At 49.9% G+C, this 26,886-nt stretch overlaps 2 pseudogenes across 1 annotated transcript in view, besides 5 other annotated features; one reads left to right on the top strand and one right to left on the bottom strand.

Moving 5' to 3' along the window:
• Positions 5,107-5,727: an enhancer, noted in NCBI's record as "H3K4me1 hESC enhancer chr15:29122227-29122847 (GRCh37/hg19 assembly coordinates)". NCBI's record gives its function as "activates a minimal SCP1, AML or CMV promoter by ChIP-STARR-seq in naive and primed H9 embryonic stem cells {active_cell/tissue: H9 hESC(naive and primed)}" and the evidence as "EXISTENCE:reporter gene assay evidence [ECO:0000049][PMID:30033119]".
• Positions 5,728-6,348: an enhancer, noted in NCBI's record as "OCT4-NANOG-H3K27ac-H3K4me1 hESC enhancer chr15:29121606-29122226 (GRCh37/hg19 assembly coordinates)". NCBI's record gives its function as "activates a minimal SCP1, AML or CMV promoter by ChIP-STARR-seq in naive and primed H9 embryonic stem cells {active_cell/tissue: H9 hESC(naive and primed)}" and the evidence as "EXISTENCE:reporter gene assay evidence [ECO:0000049][PMID:30033119]".
• Positions 6,349-6,969: an enhancer, noted in NCBI's record as "OCT4-NANOG-H3K27ac-H3K4me1 hESC enhancer chr15:29120985-29121605 (GRCh37/hg19 assembly coordinates)". NCBI's record gives its function as "activates a minimal SCP1, AML or CMV promoter by ChIP-STARR-seq in naive and primed H9 embryonic stem cells {active_cell/tissue: H9 hESC(naive and primed)}" and the evidence as "EXISTENCE:reporter gene assay evidence [ECO:0000049][PMID:30033119]".
• Positions 6,970-7,591: an enhancer, noted in NCBI's record as "NANOG-H3K27ac-H3K4me1 hESC enhancer chr15:29120363-29120984 (GRCh37/hg19 assembly coordinates)". NCBI's record gives its function as "activates a minimal SCP1, AML or CMV promoter by ChIP-STARR-seq in primed H9 embryonic stem cells {active_cell/tissue: H9 hESC(primed)}" and the evidence as "EXISTENCE:reporter gene assay evidence [ECO:0000049][PMID:30033119]".
• Positions 21,638-22,239: an enhancer, noted in NCBI's record as "H3K27ac-H3K4me1 hESC enhancer chr15:29105715-29106316 (GRCh37/hg19 assembly coordinates)". NCBI's record gives its function as "activates a minimal SCP1, AML or CMV promoter by ChIP-STARR-seq in naive H9 embryonic stem cells {active_cell/tissue: H9 hESC(naive)}" and the evidence as "EXISTENCE:reporter gene assay evidence [ECO:0000049][PMID:30033119]".
• On the top strand, positions 24,310-25,022 carry FTLP11 (ferritin light chain pseudogene 11; annotated as a pseudogene).
• The window catches only part of PDCD6IPP2 (PDCD6IP pseudogene 2), a 66,741-nt pseudogene continuing 66,088 nt past the window's right edge, over positions 26,234-26,886 (bottom strand). The window contains exon 14 of the transcript NR_037599.1: positions 26,234-26,675. The product of NR_037599.1 is annotated as a PDCD6IP pseudogene 2 (transcript). The remainder of the gene's footprint in view (positions 26,676-26,886) is intronic.

Genomic DNA, 26,886 nt, shown 5'->3' with positions numbered 1-26,886 from the left:
ATTACAAATGCACAAGCTCTTTGACCTAAGAATTCACTTCTAGGAATTTTTTGACTTGTATATCACACGTGCAAAACAGGCATGAGTAGAATCATTCATGGTGCTATGTTTCTGTAGTAAGTGACTGCAGACAATCTTGATACCCATGAAAAGGGCACTGTTCAATGCATGAGGGCACTTCCCAACACTGAAATAGAATGCAGCCATAAAAGAAGGAAGAAACGCATGATAAATTAACATGGGAAGTTCTCCAAGATAATTGTTAAGTGAAAGAACAAAGGGCAGAAGATGTGTGTAGTATGCCACCATGTGAGTAAAAAAAGCAAAAAGGAAAAAAGGGTGAGCCTATAGATGCTCATATACAATAATAAAGCCTTTCTGGAAGGATCACAGTAAACTGAAAAATGTTGTCACCCTTGGGAAAGAAAGTAGTGTCTGGGGCGGGGGTGACAGGAAAACTTTTCAGTGATTTTCCTTTTCCTTTACTTTTTCTTTTTTTTTTTTTTTTTTGAGACAGAGTCTCGCTCTGTCACCCAGGCTGGAGTGCAGTAGCTCTGTCTTGGCTCACTGCAAGCTCCGCCTCCTGGGTTCACGCCATTCTCCTGCCTCAGCCTCCAGAGTAGCTGGGACTACAGACGCCCGCCACCATGCCCGGCTAATTTTTTGTATTTTTTAGTAGAGACGGGGTTTCACTGTGTTAGCCAGGATGGTCTCGATCTCCTGACCTCGTGATCTGCCTGCCTCGGCCTCCCAAAGTTCTGGGATTACAGGCATGAGCCACCGCACCTGGCCAATTTTTAATTTTTGAAGTATATGATATTATCTATCTCTGAAAAAAAAATGTAATTATCATTCTTAACCCTGGTTTTTAACCCTTTGGAGGGTAAAAGATCTCTGAAATCTTTTGTCTATTGTTTTAGGGGGAAAAAGAAGAACAAGGAAGGTCTGTGACTATATGTTTGGACCACATGGCTGTGATCCCTACCACCACTTAGTGACAGCATACATGAATTGCATGCTTAATGCCGATACCATTCAGCCTAGAGGGGCTCCTGGACCAGGCCAGATTTCCTACAAGGTGTTACCAAGTGGAGTTGGAAACTTGTCACCTCCTCACACCCTAACTTATTTTTTAAAAATAACATATGACTTTCCTATATAGGACAGAAGATTAATGCATTGTTTTATAAGCTGAACAAGATGTTCCTTTACAAAACTTCCAAATGACAGAATACTAATTTTTCCTTCACTCTTTGGCTGACTGTAAAAATGTGCTTAATTAATAAAGACATGTCCTCTCTCTGTGGGGATGGCAGAATAACTTCCTTCTCATAAAGTTACTGCTTGGCACAGGCCTTGTTGGGCCTGGGAATATCAAGCTCTTAGGCTCCTCCTGCTGACTGCTCATTTTATCCTTGTGGAGTCTAAAGTGGCCTGAACCAAGAGTCAAGAGGCCTACATTCTGGTCCCAGCTAAGGCACCAGCCAGGCGGGGGGACTCAAGTAAATCAGCTGGGGCCTCCACGGTACAGTTTCCTCCTGGGTTTCGGTGAGGAAGTTGGCCTAGAAAATCCCCAAGGTCCAGGGTGTGTAAGAAGGAAATGCTAAACACCCCTGTGGGAGTCTGATTTTCTTGCCTTCAGGATTTAAGTCAGTGGAAAAATCACTAACCAGATCACACTCTAATAGGTTTTTCCAAGACCCACTGCTTTATTTTGGAAGACACAGAGACAGCATGGAAATGTCTTTGACAACCGTAGAAGCTAGTATCTTCCAGAAAAGTAAATACCATTGATTTATTTGGCTGATCTCAAGGCTCAAAATCCAGGCTTTGTAGAAATAAATGGATAATTGTAAACAATGGAAACCTGACCCTGGCCTTGGGAGCCACGTAGAACAGTCAGCAGGCCAGACTGTCTGTGGAGGAGCCTGAAGTATAGCCCTTACCCACCGGGAGGGCCTGTGAGGAGGGACCCACCGTGCAGGTGCTGGTGTGCTGCAACAGCAGAGGTTTGTTCTTTTCATGAGATCAGTTACCAACTGCATTTTATTTATTTATTTAGACAGGGTCTAGCTCTTTCTCCCAGGCTGGATTGCAGTGGCACTATCTCGGCTCACTGCAACCTCTGCCTCCCAGGCTCAAGCGATTCTCCTGCCTCAGCCTCCCAGAGTAGCTGGGATTACAGGCACCCGCCACCATGCCCAGCTAATTTTTGTATTTTTAGTAGAGACAAGGTTTCACCGTGTTGGCCATCCTGGTCTGGAACTCCTGACCTCAAGTGATCTGCCCACCTCGGCCTCCCAAAATGCTGGATTACAGGCATGAGCCACCGCGCCCAGCCACCAACTGCATTTTAGTAAAGGTAGGTAGGGTTGGAAAATCACCACAGTGCCGACCTTCTTTATCCTAGAGACTCTTTTGTGTAGATAACAGAGTGAAGGTCACAGAGATCGTTAGGTGTGGCTATAGGTAGCATCTATAGTATAGACGGTATGTAGAAGAAAGAGCAAAGTTCTTATTGTATAATATGGTCTAGACAGGCACTTGAGCATGTCTAGTTATGTGGACATAGAACGAGTCAGCACTACAAGTATCTTGGTGGGCCAGACAGTGATAGGAACGAAGCTGCCCTCCAATACCCCGTGTGTGAGTCTGATCCGCAGCAGAGTGTTGGAGGTAAGTCAGTGTTCACAGGAGGTCAGGCCTCCTGGGAGGGAAGGACTAAGACGGCAACTGCTCCTTTCCAAGATACAGCACAAGAAACCTTCCTGGGGGGCCAGGATGACCCAGATCAGAGCTGAGAGGCACAGAAGGGCGGACAGGCTGGTGATACATATTCCCCAGAGGAAGGGGCATCCAGGCAGGACCCCAGGACCCAGCCTGAAAGTTCCAGAGAGCAGAGCCAGAGGGGATGCTGGAAACTTTTCTGATCCTAGCCCCACAGGGATGTGTCTGGGGACAAGTGGCCAGGGATGGCCGCAGACCAGGAGCAGAGCTGTGAGCCGGGCAGAGCCCGCTGTGTGACTCACCATAGTAGGGAACAAGGAGCCGGAGAAGGGCAGGCACGACCCATCTGCAAGGCTGCCTGTGGGCATCAAGGGGCTTCCACTGTCAAGACCTGACAGCCCTGTCCTATGGCCGTGGGGCGTTTGGAAGGGAACTGAACTCCCACGGCAAGGAGCATTTTCAACCCAGGATGGGATGGCTTCCTGCTGGTAGGGCAGGCAGCATGTCAGCGATTATCAAGAAAAGAGAACGAAGCAGCACCCCCAGATCTGTCCTCCCTCATTCTCAGCCTCCTGGTTTAGAAGAACTGGCCTCTGCCCCACTCAACCCTCCTCCGTCACTTGGGGTGGGCATATGAGTTGGACCTGGCCACTCCATGTATTCCATCCCCTTGACTCCAGGGCTTAGCTGAGGGGTGGGTATGGGACCCAAGACCCTCAAGATTCCATCCCAGGACCTCACTGGAAGCACTGGCAAGGCAGCGCTCTCTCCACTGAGATTGTAAGCAGTAAGGACAATTCGAGCCTGGAGCTGCCCTGTTAGGGCGCTGGTGGGAGAGTGAGGCTACAGCAGAGGGAAGCAGAGCTGAAGGTGGACGGCATCTGTGGCTCTGGGTCCAACCCTGCCTGATCTCCCTTCCTCTAGACATTTGCGTTACTTAAGTCAGTTGAAGTTGAGCTCCTATCTCCTGTAACCTTAAGAGTCCTCACTGGCTGGGCGCTGTGGCTCACGCCTGTAATACCAGCACTTTGGGAGGCCAAGGTGGGCGGATCACGAGGTCAAGAGATCAAGACCATCCTGGTCAACATGGTGAAACCCCGTCTCTACTTAAAAAATACAAAAATTAGCTGGGCATGGTGGCGCGCACCTGTAGTCCCAGCTGCTCAGGAGACTGAGGCAGCAGAATCACTGGAACCCGGGAGGCAGAGGTTACAGTGAGCAGAGATCACGCCACTGCACTCCAGCCTGGTGACAGAGTGAGACTTCGTCACAAAAAAAAAAAAAAAAAAAAAGAGTCCTCACTGATATAGTGAGAATCATGGTGGTTATTTGTTGTAGCTATAGGTAGTAGGAAGACACAAAGCTGTGGGGTTCCAGAAAGAGCAGCAGCATTCATGGTCACAGTGCCTATTTCAGTTCCTGAAACAATCTGATGTGAGCAGCTCTCCTGGAGCCTTAGAACGTGTCCGAGAAGGAACGGAAGGAATTGGGTGCATTAAGTGCGTGGCAGTAATGGCTCAGGGAGCTTTTTCGAGAGCTGCCTTCCGAGGCTGGACTGGCTGTCATGTGGGGAGACACAGAAGTGTGCTGGGGCCAGTGCTGCAGAGGGGTCCACGATGTGGAAGGGTGCCATAAGGAGCAGCTTCACAATGGCTAGTGCTGGGCTGCACAGTGGCTTTCAACGTTGCGGGAGCTCGCCTGATGGCCCTGGTGAGCCACACGTGGGAACTCTAAGGACAACTGCACAATGTGGCTTCTCCATGGGCGCGAGACCGTGACCTGAATGACCTCACCCCAGGCTCCCAGTTCATCTCACCTGTTCTTCAGTCCTGCTCGCGCTTGGCTTATACAAAAGACACCACGTTTCCTAGTCTCATCTGAGAACTTGGGGCCTGACCCTGTATGTCAGTGGCTCTCAACTGGGGGCGATTTTGCAATGATCTGGAAATGTCTGCAGATGTTTTAGGCTGTCACAACTTAGGGGAGTGATGCTACCAGCATCTGGTGGGTAGAGTTCAGGGATGTTGTTAAACATCCTACAATACAGAGGACAGGTGCCCACCCACTCAATGAACTGGTCTAAGCCAAGATATCATGTCAAGATGTGCTGAGATTAAGAACCACTGCCATTTTTTTTTTTGAGATGGAGTTTCACTCTTGTTGCCCGGGCAGAAGTGCAATGGCACAACCTCCACTTGCTGCAACCTCTACCTCCCAGGTTCAAGCAATTCTCCCAGATAGCTGGGATTACAGGCAAGCGCCACCACGCCTGGCTAATTTTGTATTTTCATAGTTTCACCATGTTGGCCAGGCTGGTCTTGAACTCCTGACCTCAGGTGATCCTCCCAACTTGGCCTCCCAAAGTGCTGGGATTACAGGCGTGAGCCACTGCACCCAGCTCCACTGCCATAGTATCTTCAAATATGTCCATTTATTTACATGGAAGAAAGTCTTTTTTTTTTTTTTTTTTGAGATGGTGTCTCACTCTGCCGCCCAGGCTGGAGTGCAGTGGTGCCATCTTGGCTCACTGCAAGCTCCACCTCCTGGGTTCACGCCATTCTCCTGCCTCAGCGTCCCAAGTAGCTGGGACTGCAGATGCCCACCACCAAGCCCGGCTAACTTTTTTTTTGTATTTTTAGTAGAGACAGGGTTTCACCATGTTAGCCAGGATGGTCTCGATCTCCTGAACTTGTGATCCGTCCGCCTTGGCCTCCCAAAGTGCTGGGATTACAGGCGTGAGTCACCGCACCAGGCCAGAAAGTCCAAATATATAAAAGTTAATCACACGTAGTGAACGACTTAGAACGAGAAAAAAACATTGCTATATTTCCACAGTATGGGACGACAGAGACCCAGGTAGTGATGGGGCTGTGGCCCTAGCCTTGGGGGTCCAGCCAGAGACTCTGCAGGAAGCCCACCCTGGATGAGGCAGGGCTCCCATGCAGTCTGCCCAGTCGTCCTGCGCCGCTGCTCCTGAGCAGAGTAGGCACCTGTAAGTCATATCCGCCATCCCATGCCTATCCTCCCTCTCGGTACCCCCAACCCAGGCCTGGAGAGGATCATCCCAGATCCAACAGCAGATGCTGTCCCCCACCGGGAAAAGGAGAGGGCTCAGGGGACGTGCATGCACTCTTCTCCCAGGGGCATAGTTGAGTGCCTGATCCACTGGGCGAGGCCCAGGGCCTCTGCCTGGCCAGGCCTGAGGGACTGCAGTGCTGGGTGACAAGGACAACCCTGATGCCTGCATTAGGGCAGATGACAGATAGGTGGTTACCCGGTGAAGAGAAAAGCTGCAGGGAGGGCTTCCTGGAGGAAGTGTGCAGGCTCTCAATGTGGAGCCCACCCCTCCTGCTCCTCCTCCACTGCCCTGTCCTGGGCTCTGTGCCTCCACCTCCTCCCCAGTGCCCCCCCCTCCACCCTCACCCTGCACCAATGACCACACTGGGTCTGGGCTCATCTCCCTGGGTCTGACTGCCTGTCTTGAAAGCATTCCTGGAACCCTTTACACAGAATTTAGTGACCCCAGGAAGCCGTCTTAGAGTTTCCAGAGCGAAGGATTTGCGGCATTGTTCCCCTGCAGCGGGGTTGCTTTCTCTCTGCTGTGGTCTCTTTGATGCTTTCTCAAAGATGCTTTTGTCAAAGCCACCCCCCACAGAAAGCCAGGCCTTGGAGGCTGGGAGTTCCAAATGGGCCAGCAGTGGCGCTCCCCACCACCCTAGGCTCCGAGGCAGGGGAGGGAGGCCAGTGGCCCTGCTCCCCACTGCTCCGTGAGGTCCCCGCTCACAGCCTTCTCAGTGCCGGGAGCTGTTGCCCTAAGCGTGCTTCCCACGGGGCCCTCGGCTCTCCAGGAAATCCTTCACTGACTGCCAACCCACTGGGCCCAGTCCTGAGGGCTGCGTGCTCATGCCAGCCTGCACTGGCCTCCCTGGCTTTTACCACAGCTTGCAATCCTTTATTTGCATGATTAGCAATTCTCTCTCTCTCTCTCTCCCTCCTTCAGAGGGACTGTACCTGCTTGGACCCCCCACCCCACGCATCACAGCTCATGCCACGATGCCCAGATATGAGGAGGCCCTAAGTATAGGTTCTGATGACTGAATGAATGAATGAAGAAAAATATTTCAGAAGCACTTCAAGGCCTTCTTGTTCCCAAAGATCTGTCTTATCAGCCTTGCATAGTGCCTTCAATTCCCACCGCTGATAATCTGTTTAGAGAAGGCATTGTGTCCAGCTGGGCCCTTCCATCATGGATCATAGGTTGATTCATAAGCTCAGTGGGAACCCAGGGGCTTCAGCAAAGATTGGCAGAGAGGACAGAAGATGGGGCAGGGACTGGGGACAGGTGAAGAGTTCAGACCCAGACTTGGTGCTGCACTGCAGGGCTTCACCCGACTCCAAGCTGTCAGCCTCTCCTGGGGAACTGGATGGGGGCGGGGACTGACTCCAGGCTGGGGTCTCACCAACTTCCCAGGCAGCAGGAATACTGGAAGAGTCTATCCCAGGCCTCATTTATTTTGCTGTGAAGGCATTCACCTTATGCATGTGCCTTAGAAATAGGCCTTCCCAGGCATGTTGGGATGAGATCGTTCTCATAGGTGTGGAGGCAGCAAGAGAGAGGACATGGGAAGAACGAGCCTCACCTTGTGAGTTCCAGATGCCTTCAAGTCACAGACACATGCTTCCTCTGGCAGGAGGCGCTGGGGAAAGGGTGGAGTCTTTTGAGTTGTCTGAAGCTCATTCTAATTATTGGTCCCCCCCAACCCGACTGTTACTGAGCGACACCTTTTCAGAGGTGCTGGAGGTGTCAGTTCAACCACTGCAATAGGACCACTCAGGATCAAGTTTTCTTTTCTTTTTTTTTTTTGATGGAGTCTCCCTCTGTCACCCAGGCTGGAGTGCAGTGGCACGATCTCAGCTCACTGCAAGCTCCGCCTCCCAAGTTCACGCCATTCTCCTGCCTCAGCTTCCCGAGTAGCTGGGACTACAGGCACCCGCCACCACACCTGGCTAATTTTATGTATTTTTTTTTAGTAGAGACAGGGTTTCACCGTGTTAGCCAGGATGGTCTCGATCTCCTGACCTCGTGATCCTCCTGCTTCGGCCTCCCAAAGTGCTGGGATTACAGGTGTGAGCCACCATGCCAGGCCAGGATCAAGTTTTCAATTGAGAATCTGTCGCTATTTTAATCCTGTACATAACCACAGGGTTGTATTATGCTTGGGAATATTTTGTGCATTTAGGAGACCAAGTCAGAAATTTTATGTAAAGACACATGCAGGCCAGGCGCAGTGGCTCATACCTGTAATCCCAGCACTTTGGGAGGCCGAGGCAGGTGGATCACAAGGTCAGGAGATTGAGACCATCCTGGCTAACAGAGTGAAACCCCGTGTCTACTAAAAATAGAAAAAGAAATTAGCCGGACGTGGTGGCGGACACCTGTAGTCCCAGCTACTCAGGAGGCTGAGGCAGGAGAACGGTGTGAACCTGGGAGGTGGAGCTTGCAGCGAGCCGAGATGGTGCCACTGCACTCCAGCCTGGGCGACAGAGTGAGACTCCGTCTCAAAAAATAATAACAATAATAAAAATAAAGACACGTGCTAACTACTACTCGGCTCAGGAGAGTCCAGGTTGTGCCATATGTCATCAATTTTAAGACACTCTATGTTTTACATTTTAGCACCTGCTGAATTGTGTCCACACACACACACACACACACACACAAATCAAAGTCCTAACCCTCCAGTAGCTGTGAATGTGGCCTTGTTTGCAGAGAAGGTCTTTGTAGATGATTGAGTGAAGTTGAGGTCATGAGAGTGGGTTCTCATGCAATCTGCCTGGCATGCTTATAAAAAGGAGAAATTTGAACACACAGAGACAGTTGCACGAAGAAAAAACAGAGTGGACACATGCAGGGAGAATGCTGTCTACCAGCCAAAGAACTTCTGCAGCTACCGGAAACCAGGAGAGGGGCCTGGAGCAGAGTCTCCCCGCAGGCCTCAGAAGGAACCAACCCTGTCTGCACCTTGATCTCAGGTTTCCAGCCTCCAGGACTGTGAGATAATAAACATGTGCTGTTCAAGCCCGCAGTTCACAGTACTTTGTTCTGGCAGCCCCAGAAAACCAGACAACATCTCTGAAACGAAGGCACCAGCACCACCTGGCAGCCGACATCAGTGTTGCCTGCCCCATCCTGTGGGCACCCTCTGCCAGCTTTTCTTCCAGGCCTGTACCTCCACTCTCCTTGGATAATTACCCCTCACACGACTGCAGTGGCTCCACCCTCACCAGCAGAACGCTGGCATTTCCTGGGAGTATACAGCTCCTTTGCCCCCAGGCCTGGAATGGGAGGAGGAACATGGAAGCCTTCTTACCCTGAGGTGGGACAAGCGCTGAGCAGTCACTGACTCCGGAGCTCCCCAGGGGATCAAGCAAGGCTGGGAATCGCACCTTCCTCAGTCTCTTCTACCATCTGTCCTGCTTCTCTAGGGAGTTACTTGCACTGGGATGTTTATCTCTGGTTCTGCTTCTAGGGCACCAGACAGACCCAAGAACCTTGGTAAGGAAGTGGCCTGTGAGGCTGACTCTGAGGCTGGGATTCTAGAGACAGGTGACTCGCCAGGCAGAGGGCAGGAAGGCCTGAGTCCCAGCAGTGAGTGGAGGGCCGAGACTCCAGCACGCTCCCCTGGCTGCAGCTCTGCCAAGCTGGAAGCCAAGTGGAAGGGCATGCCCTGAATGGGGCAATATTTCTGATGATTGAAGCCAGGAGGGAGGTGAGAGAACAGCATAGGCTCAGGTTGATTGACAACCCACTGAAGGCACATGGCTGCATGTGAACTCCTACAGCTGGAGGAGGAGACCTGGCCCAGGTCATGTGAAGAGAAGCAGGACTTCAGCGATGGCCAGATACACGGCCTCAGCACTCTCCCATGCCAGTCAGGACTCTGATAGGGAAGAAGTGGAGCCTCCTTTCGGGGGGGCCCTGAAAGACAGTGGAGAAATAGAATCCTCCCATGGGCAGAGCCTCAGGCAGAGCGCCTGGTCAGTCACTTTGAATGGAGTGAGGAATGGCCCAAGATTAGCTATATTTATGGGCAATAGCAAATAGCTTGGCTGCTTAGTCAGGGTCTAAGGAATAAGGCTGGACATTTTTGACAAGGTGGCCACATGTGGACGGACCCCTGGGAGTGAGCACCACGTAAAAGGTCGTGATATTGCACATCAATGCCCACCAGAGAAGAAACATGAAACCACCAACCAGGCAGGCAAGAGGACTCATCGGGTCAATGTCTACCAATGCCTCCCCCTCAGGCAGCCCAAGGCTTGCACAAGGGGCCTGTGAAGAGTGGCCATGGTGGCAGAGAAGGAGGCTATGGATGTCCCAACAGCATGGACTTCCTCCCACCAAAGCTGAGCCAGGACTATCACTGCAGAATGTCCGATCTGTCAGCATCACAGACCGTGCTGAGCCCCTGTCAGCCACCACCCCTCAAAACCACCAACCAGCCTGCTTAGTCCATGTGGGGTGCTGTAACAAGCTATCATAAACTGAGTGGTTTCTAAACAAGAGAAATGTATTTCTCACAGTTCTGGAGGCTGGGAAGTCCAAGGCCAAGGTGCTGGCACATCCAGTGCCTGGTGAGTTCTTGATTTCTATTCATAGATGGCGCCTTCTAGCCATCCCCTCACATGTTAGAGAGGCAAGCCAGCTCTCTGAGGCCTCTGTTGTAAGGACACGAATCCCATTCATGAGGCCTCCACCATCAAGACCTAATCAAGTCCTGAATGCCCAACCTCATAAACACCATCATATTGGGAATTAGGTTTCAACATGCAAACTTTTTGGAGACACAAACGTTCAGACCATAGCACACTCAATGGCAAAACAATTACACGAGACCTCTTCAGCTTTGAAAATTACAATTCACCCTGATTGGGGTCGCCATATATTCCAGAAATAGATTTGCATTTTTTGCCAGGACCACTAGTTAAGGATTTACCAACGTGGGATCCTCGGACCCATGACTGCCTTTCTGGCAAGGGCAGCGTAGCAATGGGAACGTGGCCATAAGGTCCACACCCATGCTCCCGCCAGATTCCACACCAGCCAGAAGTTTCTGGCCTGATGGAGCGTAGGCTTAGCCTTCTGAAGTGACAGGCTGGCTGTGTCTGTATCCAAATTTCTTTTTTTACATAAGGACATCAGTCATTGGCTTAGAGCCCATCTAAATGACCTTATTTTAACTTGATCGCCACTGTAAAGACCCTATCTCTGAGATACTGGGAGTTAAGACTTCAACATAAGAATATTTATAGGGACAAAACTTAACCTGTAACATGGAGGGAGTTGTTCAATATATCATTTATAGCCTCAGGACCAACTGCAGCCACAGGTCTGAAGCTCATCCCACGAAGCCTCCCAAGCTAGATTTTCCCCATAGACAATGACTGTTTGTATATAATGAATTAATAACAACAAGAGGTTAAGGCTGGCATCTTCCCCACTTAATCATTGGACATCCATGCCCATAAGTCACTGAACATCTGAGATAATTTGGGCAAATGATTGAGCTATTCCGAGAGAAGGGCTATTCAGGACTTCTACTCAGAGTGCCACTTCCTGGTATGTGACAGATGGCAGAAGACACGACTCCTGGAGAGGAGTTGAGGCAAGACTTCCCTGGAGCCATCTCCTAGGTTCTAGGGGAAGGTGAGTGTATCAGTATCCTGCCGCTGCTATAACAAATCACCACAAACTCCAGGGCTTAAAACACAAATGGATCAGTCCACAGTTCTATGGGTTAGAAGTGTGACATGGGTCTCAATAGACTAAAACCAAGGTGATGGCAGGACTCTCTTCCTTGTGGAGGCTCTAGGAGAGATGACTTCCTCACCCTTTCCAGCTTCTTCTTTTTTTTCTTTTTTCTTTTATTTTTTTTTGAGACAGAGTCTCACACTGTCACCCAGGCTGGAGTGCAGTGGCGCTATCTCGGCTCACTGCAAGCTCTGCCTTCCAGGTTCACGCCATTCTCCTGCCTCAGCCTCTCGAGTAGCTGGGACTACAGGCGCCTGCCAATGTGCCCAGCTAATTTTTTCGTATTTTTAGTAGAGACGGGGTTTCACCGTGTTAGCCAGGATGGTCTCGATCTCCTGACCTCGTGATCCACCCGCCTCGGCCTCCCAAAGTGCTGGGATTACAGGTGTGAGCCACCACATGCAGCCACCTTTTCCAGCTTCTAGAGGCTGTCCACATTCATCTGAGTAGACGCAGGTGGAGTTGCGAATCTTGAACCCTGAGCCTGTCTGAACCCACGTCTTTGCTTTGCTGGTGGAAACTGCCAGCTCTCCCATATCTAAAGAGCTTAAATACTTAAATACAGCTCTTACTTAAATACCCTGTGGTTGCTCTCCTCCCTGGACCAGGTCTGAGAGTGGGCAGCGTCACTATTGAGATGGTTCCCCTGGTTTCATGGATGATGGTGGAATTCCACAACGGCAGGTAGCAGTTCTGAACCACCAAAGACAAGGGGGTGTATTCGTTGTAATGGGCAGGAAGACAGAGATCACCAGAACGCTTTGACCCACATGACCTTTGCCAGTTGCTAATGGGCCTCAAGGAATGAAATACATACAGCAAATTTCCACATTGAAACTAGTTCACAGACTCAGAGTCCCTTGATTTGAAGAGGAGGCTCAGTGTCCCAAGGAAGGACACTGTGACATTGTCACAAATATGTGCTGTAAATCTTCGTCCACTTCTTCCCCATAGGGACATTTGGCCATGTATGGAGGTCTTGTGTGCGTGGAAAAAAAAGGACATGCCACGACCTTTTGGGGGATTTCTGGACATGGGCTCTAAAATGACATTAAATCTTATGAAATTTTGGCCGGGTGCGGTGGCTCACGCCCATAATCCCAGCACTTTGGGAGTTCGAGGTGGGTAGATCACAAGGTCGGGAGTTCAAGACCAGCCTGGCCAACATGGTGAAACCCCATCTCTACTAAAACTACAAATATTAGCCTGGTGCGATGGCAGGTGCCTGTAATCCCAGCTACTCGGGAGGCTGAGGCAGGAGAATCACTTGAACCTGGGTGGCGGAGGTTGCAGTGAGCCGAGATCTCATCACTGCACTCCAGCCTGGGTGACAGAGTGAGACTCCATCTCAAAAAAAAAAAAATTATGAAATTTTTAGAATATTCTTAGGAAGCAAAATGCCAGTGTGTGCTATCAGTCAAAGTCGGGGTTTATGGTAGTCAGGTGATAATGGAGTTTTGCTCCAAATCTGACTCACAGTGGGCCCAGCAGGTCTGCAGGTCTACCCCATGGTTATGCCCCAGTTCTGGGATGTATCTTGGGAATGAATAAGTGCGGCCTCTCAAAGAGTCCCCACATGGGGGCTGGGCACGGTGGCTCACGCCTGTAACCCCAGCACTTTGGGAGGCCGAGGCGGGAGGATCACGAGGTCAGGAGATCGAGACCATCCTGGCTAACATGGTGAAAACCTGTCTCTAATAAAAATACAAAAAAATTAGCCGGGCATGGTGGCGGGTGCCTGCAGTCACAGCTACTCGGGAGGCTGAGGCAGGAGAATGGCATGAACCCAGGAGGCAGGCTTGCAGTGAGCCAAGATAGCGCCACTGCACTCCAGCCTGGGCGACAGAGGGAGACTCTGTCTCAAAAAAAAAAAAAGAGTCCCCGCATGGGCTGCCCTGACCCATGGGATGAGGGCCATTATAGTAGGGAGGGCCGAAGAGCTGCTCCTCCCTCCTGGGTTAGTGAACCAGGAGGCGCTGTGTGCAGGGAAGCCTCAGACACCATTGTCACCACAACAGCCTGGAACAGAGCGGGGTGGGATACCCGTTACGGCCCCCTCTTTGCCCTGTGTAGATGGAATATGAATCTTGGAAAATGACAACAGATGGTCATAAGCTTGACCTGGTAGTGGCGCCAATTGCAGCTGTCATTTCAGAGATGGCTTAGAAATACTCCAGATGTGTTTCCAGACTAGAGCAAAACAGCATAGTCCCTGACACCTAGTATGCTTTGGGTTAGTTAACTCTTTCTTTTCCCCATTTCCTCATATGAACAAAACTGGTTAACATTTTAGGTTCCAAGTGAGAATGCGACTGAGTTGACACAATTGTGCAATAATACGGTACTGATGAGACTTCCTCCAGACGCAGGGCAGGAGGGTATGGTGGTGGCTGCATGGGGTAGCTCCTTGCTTGCTCTCCAGACCTCCCCACTGCTCTGCACCTGAAAAACTGACCTCTGAGGACAGACCCATGGGATCCCTGGCCCTCTGGCCTCCAGCTGGGTTTGCCCAGTGGGAGATACTGAAAAAGACTGCAGGGAGTGGAGGGTGATGCTGGTGCATGTGGTCCTAGCTCTCCTCCTTCCCTAGCACTATGAATTGGCCCTGTTGTCCTACCAGAGACTCTAGCTCCTGCACTCAGCTCTCTCCCCCAACTGCAGGCCTCGCTGGATTCCAGTAATCCTTCCCTTCACTTGCTCCTTTAGGCCTGGGAGTGCTCATAGCTCTCCAGTGGTGCTAGCCCCAAGGGGCTATTTTGTTGATGGCACTTAACCCTGCCCCGCCTTTGTAAATAGTCCTTTCACTAAAGACTCCTCATTTATCCCATCTGAAAGTACCATCTGTTTTCTACTGGGACTCTGACTGATTCAAGGAAGAGAATGGATTCCTCCACCTAATATTTATTGGGTAGTTACCATGAAATTCATGCTAGGCATTGGGGATGTCATTGAAGCAAAACTAGACATGCTCACTGCCCCCTCAGAGCTTTCTGGGAGAGATGGCTATTAATCCAATGACCATTCAAAGGGAAATTACAAATGAGGCATGCCCAAGGAAGGATGGGAACGCGGTACTGTGAAAACTCCTCGTGGGAGAGTGGGTGTTCTTCCCTTCCATTTGAGTTGGCATTCCAGGCAATGGAACAGCATGTGCAAAGACCTGGAGCTGTCAGGAGTAAAGTGCTTTTGAGGAATTTGAGAGAGGCTCATGCAGAGGAGGCTGGAGAGGCAGGAGGGTGTGTGAAGGGCATCCCAGGGAAGAACAGTAAAGCCTCTGGAGAAGGTAGTAGGTGGCCGTGAAAATGGCCCTGATGGCCCATGCCTCCTGAGATCCATGGTCTTGTGTAATCCCCTCCCTCTGAGTGTGTGCTGGACTACCTGAGTTACTTCTAGTGAACAAAATACTCCAGAAGGGGGCCAGGCGCAGTGGCTCACACCTGTAATCCCAGCACTTTGGGAGGCCGAGGCGGGTGGATCACGAGGTCAGGAGATCGATACCATTCTGGCTAACACGGTGAAACCCCGTCTCTACTAAAAATACGAAAAAATTTAGCAAATTAGCCGGGCGTGGTGGTGGGCGCCTGTAGTCCCAGCTACTCAGGAGGCTGAGGCAGGAGAATGGCATGAACCCGGGAGGCGGAGCTTGCAGTGAGCCGAGATCACGCCACTGCACTCCAGCCTGGGCAACAGAGCGAGACTCTGTCTCAAAATAATAATAATAATAATAATAATAATAATAATAATAATTCTCCAGAAGGGATGGGATGTGAATTCTGACACTTGTTTACAAAGGAAATACTATGACTTCCATTTCTGCATGCCCTCTTTTGTTCTCTTTTTCTTGACTCACCAGCTGCTGCATGGTGGGGACACTCATGCAGCCTGTGGGGTGGCCCAGATACTGAGGAACCCAGGCCTGACAGCAACCAGGTGGGTGAGTAAACTTGGACATGGATCTCATGAGGACTGCCCTGTGAACACTACTTCCATGTGCATGCAAGGAGCTTCTCCAGCCCCAGGTGAGCCTTCAGGTGACAGCAGACCTTGCTTATAGCTTAACTACAACCTGCCAAGGACTGTGAGCCACAGGCATCCAGATTCCTGACCAGCAGAAACTGGGAGATAATAGATGTACATCGTTTTAACTGCCATGTTTTGGAGTAATTTGTTATGCAGCTATAGGTAACGAATACAGAGCATATTCCGGAGTGGGATGGCATATTTCTTTTCTTTTCTTTTCTTTTTTTTGAGACGGAGTCTCACTCTGTCACCCGGGCTGGAGTGCAGTGGTGCGATCTCAGCTCGCTGCAAGCTCCGCCTCCCGGGTTCACGCCATTCTCCTGCCTCAGCCTCCTGAGTAGCTGGGACTACAGGCACCTGCCACCATGCCGGGCTAAGTTTTCTGAAATTTTTTTTTTCTTTTTTTGAGACGGAGTTTCCCTCTATTGCCCAGGCTGGAGTGCAGCGGCGTGATCTCGGCTCACTGCAAGCTCCGCTTCCCGGGTTCATGCCATTCTCCTGCCTCAGCCTCCCGAGTAGCTGGGACTACAGGCGCCCACCACGACGCCCGGCTAATTTTTTGTATTTTTAGTGGAGACAGGGTATCACCGTGTTAGCCAGGATGGTCTCGATCTCCTGACGTCGTGATCCGCCCACCTCGGCCTCCCAAAGTGCTAGGATTACAGGCGTGAGCCACCGCGCCCGGCCCTATTTTTTTTTTTTTTTTTTTTTTTAGATGGAGACTCGCTCTGTTGCCCAGGCTGGAGTGCAGTGACGCGATCTCGGCTCACTGCAAGCTCCGCCTCCCGGGTTCACGCCATTCTCCTGCCTCAGGCTCCTGAGTACCTGGGACTACAGGTGCCAGCCATCATGCCCGGCTAATTTTTTGTATTTTTAGTAGAGATGGGGTTTCACAGTGTTAGCCAGGATGGTCTCAATCTCCTGACCTCATGATCCGCCAGCCTTGGCCTCCGAAAGTGCTGGGATTACAGGCATGAGCCACCGCACCCGGCCTGTATTTTTTTTTAATAAAGATGGGGTTTCACCGTGTTAGCCAAGATGGTCTTGATCTCCTGACCTCGTGATCCACCCGCCTCCGCCTCCCAAAGTGCTGGGATTACAGGTGTGAGCCAAGGCGCCCGGCCAGGGTGGCATATTTCTTTCCTTCAACAAATACTGACGGGCTGCTATATATCAGGTACATTGTGGGTATTGACATGTGTATTAGTTCACTTTGCGTTGCTATGAAAAATTACCTGGCCCGTCATGGTGGCTCAGGCCTGTCATCCCAGCATTTTGGGGGGCCAAGGCAGGCGGATCACCTGAGGTCAGGAGTTCGAGACCAGCCTAGCCAACATGGTGAAACCCCGTCTCTACTAAAAATACAAAAATCAGCTGGGCATGGTGGCACATGCATGTAATCCCAGCTACTTGGGAGGCTGAGGCAGGAGAATCACTTGAACCCGGAAGGCTGAGGTTACAGTGAGCTGAGATCGCAGCACTGCACTCCAGCCTGGGTGACAGGGAGAGACTGCATCCCAAAAGAAAAAGAAAAAAGAAAAAAGGAAATACCTGAGACTGAGTAATTTATAAAGGAAAGAAGTTTAATTGGCTGACAGTTCTGCAGGCTGTATAAGAAGCATGGGGCTGGGCACAGTGGCTCACGCCTGTAATCCCAGCACTTTGAGAGGCCAAGGTGGGTGGATCACGAGGTCAGGAGATTGAGACCATCCTGGCTAACATGGTGAAACTCCGTGTCTACTAAAAATACAAAAAAATTAGCCAGGCGTGGTGGCAGGCGCCTGTAGTCCCAGCTACTCAGGAGGCTGAGGCAGGAGAATGGCGTGAACTCAGGAGGTGGAGCTTGCAGTAAGCCAAGATCGTGCCACTGCACTCCAGCCTGGGCAACAGAGCAAGACTCCCTCTCCCAAAAAAAAAAAAAAAAAAAAAAAAAAAAAAAAAAAGGCATTGAACCAACATCTGCTTGTGCTTGTGTTAAGGCTCCAGGAAACTTTTACTTACGGCAGAAGGCGAAGGGGGAGCAGGTGTGTCCCATGGTGAGAGAAGGAACGAGAGGAGGAGGTCCCAGTCTCCTAACAACCAGTTCTCCTGTGAACTCATGACTGCAGGGAAGGCAGCAAGTCATTCACGAGGAAACCGCCCCCATGACCCACACACCTCCCACTAGGCCCAGCCATCAACACTAGGGGTCACATTTCCATATGAGACTTGGAGGGGACACATGTGCAAGCTATATCAACATGATACATTTTATACATTTTTGTGTAGTTATATTTTGAATGGGTAACACAGGAATGTGGTTTTAACATTTCAGGCCAGGTGGGGTGGTTCACACCTGTAATCCCAGCACTCTGGGAAGCCAAAGCTTGAGAATCACTTGAACCCAGGAGTTCAAGACCAGCCTGGGCAACATAGCAAGACCCTGTCTCTGTTTTAAAAGTAATTAAATACAATTCTAAAGTAACAGTAAAGGACATAGGAAAAAGTCTCCTCTCCACAGACACCCAGTTCCTTTAGTATGGCTTCATATCATCAGTTTCTGCTGTCCCCTTCCAGAAAGATTTTATGCAAGTGGGAGCAAATATGTATTGGTTCTCAATACCATTCTGCAACTTGCTCTTCTCACATAACAGTTTATCTTAAAGAACATTCTGTGTCTGTACGTAGAAGATTCCTTCATTGTTTTTCACAGCTATATAGAATTCCATTATATGAATGTATCCTCCTACCTTTTCACCCATCCCCTACTGATGAACACCTAGGTTATTTTACAAACAAAGGTGCTGAATAACCATCACTATATAACATGTTGTGTGATCAGATAGATTCTAGAAGTGGGTCCAAAAGCATATGAGTGTCTAGCTTTGATAAATGTTATCCAACTCCCATGACAAGGTATGGTGGGATAGAGGCTTCCTTGTTTTCATGGCTGTGACCGGCAGATGAGAGTGTCTGCTTCCCCAACAATTGTCAGCTGTGTCATCAAATGTTTTCATGTCACCAGTCTGACCATGGAGAAACAGCATTTCAGCGAGACCTGAGAGTGTCCTGCCCTTATTTACTTATTTATTTTTTGAGATGGAGTCTAGCTCTGTCGCCAGGCTGGAGTGCAGTGGTGTGATCTCGGCTCACTGCAACCTCCGCCTCCCAGGTTCAAGCCATTCTCCTGCCTCAGCCTCCCTAGTAGCAGGGACTACAGGCGCCCGCCACCACGCCCGGCTAATTTTTTGTATATTTAGTAGAGACGGGGTTTCACCATGTTAGCCAGAATGGTCTCAATCTCCTGACCTCATGATCCGCCCGCCTCCGCCTCCCAAACTGCTGGGATTACAGGCATGAGCCACCGTGTCCGGCCTGTCCTGCCCTTCTTATGTGTGAGGTAGAGAATCTCCTGACATGCTTAAGAGCTACTAACATTATCTGTGTTAAGGTTATTGTTAAAAAAAAAAGAAAAGAAATCACACTGGCTGCTGAGTGCAGAATGGATTGGATTGTGTGGACCACAGCGGATGCACACAGATGAAGGGGGATGGGGAGATGGAGTGCAGCACATGGACTGAGAGCTGTTTGAAAGGCTCAAAAAAGAGGCCTTTGTGAGCCCTGTGTGTGTGTGTGTGTGTGTGTGTGTGTGTGTGTGTGTGTGCGCGCCTGCGCACACGTGCTCTCAGATAGAAAGTTGCCGAGGGAGAGGCAGTGCCAGCATTGGCCTTCAGTCTCTGACTCTTGCATCTTGAAGAAAGATGGTGCCCTTCCCTGAGACATCCAATGCTGAATGAAGGCCAGGCTTGTGGGAAAAGCTCAACTATGTTTTCTGCTGTTGCTATGAGAACCATTAACTTCTTACATTTACTATACGCCGTGCCTTCCTCCTACACCTTAGCGGGGTTTTAAATTTTAACGCATGTCTTGGATTTAGCATATTTAAAATACCAAGCTAGCAAATCACATACACAAAGAGTATGTCAGGCCATCTATAAAATGTTGATTATTTCTCTGATTGTCTACATAGTACTGAGGGAGCATTTGCAAGAGAAGGTGGTGGAGGCTGGGAATCACCTGGAGGGGCGGCCAGCCCTTGATCTGGCTGCTTAAGTAACTCACACAAACAACACAGGCAGACAGGGCTCCCTGGAATTGGTTTTCTTCCATCTGCAGCCTGTGAAGTCAGTTGAGGCATCTGAAGTTCTTCAGTTTTTCACTTCTATGGGGCCTTCTGATCCAGGTGTGTGGTATTAATGTTCTCTAGGTGCCTGTACTAGATCCCATCCAACTCTCAGAGTCTGCTGTCGAAGGGATCTCAGAGGGAGTAACTACAAAAAAGAAAGTAGGGGCTGGGTGCGGTGGCTCGTGCCTGTAATCCCAGCACTTTGGGAGGCTGAGGCGGGCAGATCACGAGGTCAGGAGACCAAGACCATCCTGGCTAACAGGTGAAACCCCATCTCTACTGAAAATACAAAAAATTAGCTGGACGTGGGGGCAGGCACCTGTAGTCCCAGCTACTTGGGAGGCTGAGGCAGGAGAATCGCTTGAACCTGGGAGACAGAGCTTGCAGCGAGCCGAGATAGCACCACTGCACTCCAGCCTGGGCTGCAGAGTGAGACGTCATCTCACAAAAAAAAAAAAGAAAGAAGTAGTAACTTCTAAAATTATATGTGTATATATCTTCTTGGATAAAAGAGACCATCCCCTTAAATACCAGCTAAATTTAACCAATGGTATTATGGTCATTTAGTGGGTTTTCCCCCAGAAGCCCACACTTCTCCCCATCCTCCAGTTCACACCATTAGCTGTGAGCATGATCCCCATGCCAGTGAAACCGGAGAATAAATATGTCAAAGTCCTGGCTTCGATTCTTCCAAAGTCAAGGTAAGAGAGAAACAGGAAAAACAGCTCCCTATTCCTCTCTCTAGGGTGGTGGTTCTGAGACTGTGGTCCCTCAACCAGCAACACTGGCCTCACCTGGTACCTGGTTAAAAATGAAAATTCTAGGGCCAGGCCCAGTGTCTCGTGCCTGGAATCCCAGTAGCTTGGGAGGCCAAGGTTGGGGGATCTCTTGAGGCCAGGAGTTGGAGACCAGCCTGGGCAACATATCGAGACCCCATCTCTACAAAAAGTTTTTGAAGGCCGGGCGCAGTCAGTGGCTCATTGAGGCCTGTAATCCCAGTACTTTGGGAGGCCGAGGTGGGTGGATCACGAGGTCAGGAGTTCAAGACCAGGCTGACCAACATGGTGAAACCTTGTCTCTACTAAAACTTCAAAAATTAGCAGGGTGCGGTGGCAGGCGCCTGTAATCCCAGCTACTCAGGAGGCTGAGGCAGGATAATTGCTTGAACCCAGCCAGCAGAGATTGCAGTGATCCAAGATTGCACCACTGCACTCTAGCCTGGTGACAGAGTGAGACTCAGTCTCAAAAAAAAAAAAATTTTTTTTTGAATTAGCTGGGTGTGGTGGTGTGCTCCTGTTGTCCCAGCTACTTGTGAGGCTGAGGTGGGAGGAGCTCTTGAGCCCAGGAGATTGAGGCTGCAGCCAGCTATGTTCGCACCACTGCACTCCAGTCTGTGCAACAGAGCAAGAGCCGAAAGAACGAAAGAACAAAAGAAAGAGGAAGGGAGGGAGGGAGGAAGGAAGGAAGGAAGGAAGGAAGGAAGGAAGGAAAAAGAAAGAAAAAAGAAAGACAGACAGACATGGACATTCTTAGGCCTCACTCCAGACTTACGCAGAATAAGACATTCTGGGATGCAGTGCCAGGAAATCTGTAATTTAAAAACTCCCCCGGTGGTTCGATTGCACAACTGACCTTTGAGAACCACTGAATTTTGACATCCTAGGGCTGAGAGAAATCCCCAGGCCATCACGTGGGGTCAGTAAAGACAGTGAGGCTGAGTGGTCTCAGGCAGCGGCCTCACAGAACTGCCTGCAGCCCTCGTGGGAGTGGCTTGGCCACTCCAAGACAGGACACAGCCAGCTGGGTAGGCTGGGCCCGGGACAAGTTGATGCTGAGACAATGGAACTTGCACCAGAGATCCAAAACCCTGGAAGGAGTGGACACCTCAGCCAACACCAGTGTGGAGGGCTGATTAGGCACAAGAGAAGACCCTCGCGGTGTGGCCAGAGTGAGCCGGAGGACCCGGACTCAGGCCCTGACGCCGCTGCGCCTCTGCCATCCTCACTCCGGTCTGGATCCATATTGAGCTCCTGGCCTGCGAGGTCTTACTATTTCACAGAGTAGACAGACAAAAGCAGTCCACTGTTGGCCGGGCACGGTGGCTCATGCCTGTAATCCCAGCACTTTGGTAAGCCAAGGCAGGCAGATCACCTGAGGTCAGGAGTTTGAGACTAGCCTGGCCAATATGGCGAAATCCTGTCCCTCTAAAAATACAAAAATTAGCTGGGAGTAGTGGCAGACGCCTGTAATCCCAACTACTCAGGAGGCTGAGGTGGGAGAATCACTTGCACCCGGGAGGCAGAAGTAGCAGTGAGCCGAGATGGCACTGCTGCACTCCAGCCTAGGCCATAAGCGTGAGACTCTGTCTCAAAACAAAAAACAACTACAAAAAAATTCCACTGTCAAGATGGCAGCGTGACCACGTTACATCTCTTTCTTCTATAGAACATCATTAGACATGGATTTTATATATATATATATATATATGTTTTTTGAGACAGAGTTTTGTTCTGTCACCCAGGCTGAAGTGCAGTGGCATGATCTCGGCTCACTGCAACCTCCACCTCCCAGGTTGAAGCGATTCTCCTGCCTCAGTCTCCTGAGTAGCTGGGATTACAAAAAATACATATATTTTAAAGCAGAGTAACAAATACATAACTAAGCATGGAGTGGAAAGAGGGGACCCCTGTGGACTTGATATTGTCTTTCTTTAAAAAAAAAAAAAAGAAAATGTGCAAGGTGGATGTCTTCCTGTCACTTTGCACAGCCTACTGCCATAGTGCCTGAACCCCAGACCCCAAACTCACTGTCCTGCTCGGGGAACCCCAGGCCACACTGGACATTGAGGGCACCCCAAGCACTCTCCTATCCTCACCTCGCTCCTGCAGTAAATGGCTAAATGAATAACTCAGAAGTGAAGCCAAAAAGAAAAAGAAAATGCACATGGGGAACAGAAGAGGCGAGCAGAGGCCACAGCCATCTGCAGCCTGGAGGCCTGGGCTGATACACTGTGAAGAGATGTCTCCAGGGGCTGCCTGTGGGGAGCAGTCTGCCATTGAGAACACACCTAGAGAAGCCTCTCATAGCAGACAAGGGCAGAACCAGAAATTAACACGTGGGGAAGTTATATACCACAAATAGACAGGACAATCCGTGGAAGAACCGAGGGAATGGTGATAGCAGAATGTCAGGAAATGACTTTATAATATGTAGACCTTAGAGAAATAGAGGAGGAACTGAGACAAAAATCAATTTGAATCCCTGGAAATAAAAAATATAGTGACTGAAATTAACAATTCAGCAATTACTGAACTGACAGCTGGACAGAACTTGTACAGAGTTGTGTGTGTGCCTGTATGCACATGCTCACGCACTCATACAGAAAGAAACTTCAGAATATCAAGGAAAAAGAGAAAAAAGGTGTCAGGGAGAAAAGATGATAAGTAATGCATTAAAAAAATGAAAATCAGGGGCCGGGAATGGTGGCTCACACCTGTAATCCCAGCACTTTGGGAGGCCAAGGCAGGCAGATCACGAGGTCAGGAGATCGTCCTGGCTAACACAGTGAAACCCCGTCTCTACTAAAAATACAAAAAAATTAGCCAGATGTGGTGGCGGGCACCTGTAGTCACAGCTACTCAGGATGCTGAGGCAGGAGAATGGTGTGAACCCAGGAGGAGAACCCTTGCAGTGAGCCGAGATCGCGCCACTGCACTCCAGCCTGGGTGACAGAGCAAGACTCTTGTCTCAAAAAAAAAAAAAAAAAAAAAAAAAGAGAGAAAATCAGGCCAGGCTTGGTGGCTTACACCAGTACTTTGGGAGGCCGAGGCAGGCTGATCGCTTGAGCTCAGGAGTTCAAGACCAGCCTTGTCAACATGGCGAGACCTCGTGTCTACTAAAAATAAAAAAATTAGCCAGACGTGGTGGTGTGCACATATAGCCCCAGGCTGAGGTGGGACAATTGCGTGAGCCCAGGATTTGAGGTTGTAGTGAGCTATGATCATGCCACTGTACTCCAGCCTAAGTGACAGAGTGAGACCCTGTCTCAAAAAAGACCCCAAAACCAAACAACAAAATAACATAAAAATCAAAATATATTGGATTTCATTTCTTAGCTATATTCTGCATATTAAAAACACACATTAAAAATGCAGGTCCAGGCCGGGCATGGTGGCTCACGCCCGTAATCCCAGCACTTTGGGAGGCAAAGGCAGGTGGATCACCTGAGGTCAGGAGTTGGATACCAGCCTGGCCAACATGGTGAAACCCGTCTCTACTAAAAATACAAAAATTAGCCGGGCATGGTGGTGGGCGCCTGTATTCCCAGCTACTCGGTAAGCTGAGGCAGGAGAATTGCTCGAACCCAGGAGGCGGAGGTTGCAGTGAGCCGAGATTGCACCACTGCACTACAGCCTGGGTGACACACTGAGACTCTGTCTCAAAAAAAAAAAAAAAAAAATTGCAGGTCTAGGCAGCACTCCCAGTGATCCCACACATCTGTCCCTTGATTCAACAGTGTTAGGATAGGACAGACCTGAGGACTCCCTTTCTTCCAGCCTCTCCTAACCTCCAATCTTCTCTCCAATTGCAACCTCCAGGACCATCTTCTCAGCCATCTCCTGCTTCCAGGACCAGCCAACACCGTTGTGTTAGAAATAAGGTTAGCTCCTTATTGCCAACCAACCACAAGCTCCCAGATTCGTCAGAATGATTCCACCGAGGAGGAAGCTGCAGTCAGCTGCCTGGTCCATGTGCATCGGCGGGTGTCCTGCACTTACCATTCCCTGGGCTTCTATTTCAACCACAATGAGTGGCTCTGGAGCGCTTTGGCTGCTTCTTCCATGAGTTGGTTCAATAGAAGCACAAGGGCACAGTGTGTCTCTTGGAAGTGCAAAACCAGCTGCACCATCTTCCAAGGTGCACAGAAGCCATCTCTAGATGAGTGGGGAAAATCATGGATGCCATCAAAGCCACCGTTGCCTGGAGAAGAATCTGAACCAGGCCCTTATGGATCCGCATGCCCTGGGATCTGCCCACACAGACTTTCATCTCTGTGACTTTCAGGACAGCCATTTCCTAAATGGGAAGATGAAACTCTTCAAGATGATGGGCAACCACCGCAGTTACCTTTGCTGGCCGGCCAGCCCCCAGGCCCACCTGCACCAGTCTCTTTTCCAAAAGCCTACCCACAAGCACAACCAGGGCCTCCAAAGCCCAGCAGCCTTTGAGGGGTTCCTCTGCACCTCCTGGTATCAGGGCTTCTGCCTGACCCTCTCTCTCCAGCCAGTAGGCAGCTTTTTAACCACCCTCCAGCCTTCTCCCAAGCCGTGGACCAAAGGGGAAGAAAGTTTTTGCAGCAAAAAAAGAAAAAGAAAAGCAGGATATGGAAAAATTGACAGTAACACAACAGAGAGCTCAGAAATAAATCCAAACATATCTGGTCAACTAATTTTTGACAAGGGCATCAAGAGGACACAATGGAGAAACAATAGTCACTTCTTGGCCGGGTGCAGTGGCTCATGTCTGCAATCCCAGCAGTTTGGGAGGCCGACGCAGGTGGATCACCTGAGGTCAGGAGTTCAAGACCAGCCTGGCCAACATGGTAATTACATTTTTTATTTCCAAGAATTCAAATAGATTCTTGTCTCAGTTCCCTATTTCTCTAAGGCCTACACATTACAAAGTCCTTTCCTGACATTCTGCTATCGCCATTCCCTTGGTTCTTCCATGGATTGTACTATTTGTGGTGTATAATTTCCCACGTGTTAATTTCTGGTTCTGCGCTTGTCTGCTATGCTAACGTTGAAGCAAGGATGATAATAGAACCTCCCTAAAACTGATGCTGTCCTTGTCCAGGAGCTGAACCCACTTTTGTAAGATGAATGAAAGGCCACAAGATTAGGATTTGGTGCGTGGGGGCCTGAATTCTGTGAAAATACAGGCATAGTTTCTGTAACCCCTTACTGCTCAGGAGTCATGTGGCCAGAGGTCACAAGATTTGTGTCTTCCCCAGTGCCTCCTGTAGATAACATCACTATTGTGGAACCTAAAATTGGCCTTTTGGGATGTTTCTCAGACTTACCCCACCTGGACTCAACCTGTGGCCCCACCCAGATGTGGACTCAGTGCATAAGGACTATTTCCACACCCGTATGATTGCATCCCCAACCACTTGGGGTAACATCATTCATTCATTTGCACGTGGAAATCCAGTTTTCCCAATACCATTGTAATTCCCTGGTGGGTTCTTCCTGCTTGCTGCACAGACAAAACCAGTTCACTGAGGCCATGGTATTGCAGTAAGGAGTTGAATTAACTCAATGCCAGCCACATGGAAGGACTGGAGTTATCACTGAAATCAGCCTCCCCAAAGGCTCAGAGGTTAGGGTGTTTCAAGGAAAGTTTTGTGGGCAGGCAGGGGACTCAGGAATGGGTGCTCTTTAATGGTTAGGACTTCTCTAGGTGTGTTCTGAATGGCAGACTGCGCCCCGCAGGCAGCACCCGGAGACATCTCTTCACAGCGTATCAGCCCAGGCTTCCAGACTGGCCTCTGCTCGCCTCTCCTGTTCCCCATGTGCATTTTCTTTTTCTTTTTTGGCTTCACTTCTGAGTTATTCATTTAGCCATTTACTGCAGGAGCGAGGTGAGGATAGGAGAGTACTTGGGGTGCCTTCAATGGCCAGTGTGGTCTGGGGTCCCCGAGCAGGACAGTGAGTTTAGGGTCTGGGGCTCAGGTGCTATGGCAGTAGGCTGTGCGAAGTGACAGGAAGACATCCACCTTGCACATTTTCTTCAGTTTTAAAGAAACACATTACCATTTCAGTTATATTTGTTTTATGAGACACAGTTTCGTTCTGTCGCCCAGGCTGGAGTGCAATGGTGCGATCTCGGCTCACTGCAACCTCTGCATCCCAGGTTCAAGCGATTCTCCTGCCTCAGTCTCCCGAGTATCTGGGATTACAAAAAAACAACATACATTTTAAAGCAGAGTAACAAATTGATAACTAAGCGTGGAGTGGAAAGAGGGGACCCCCGAGGACTGGAAATGGCAACGTTAGACTATGAACTAAATTTCTCCCATGGCTGATTTGGCCTATGCCCAGGAATGAGCAAAGACAGCAGACCCGTGAGACTGGAAGCAAGATGGAGTCGGCCATGCTAG

This window comes from Homo sapiens, chromosome 15, assembly GCF_000001405.40.
Source record: "Homo sapiens chromosome 15, GRCh38.p14 Primary Assembly".
Classification (NCBI taxonomy): Eukaryota; Metazoa; Chordata; class Mammalia; order Primates; family Hominidae; genus Homo; species Homo sapiens.
Note: the sequence above shows the minus strand (reverse complement) of the source record. Positions and strands in the feature narration are given on the sequence as shown.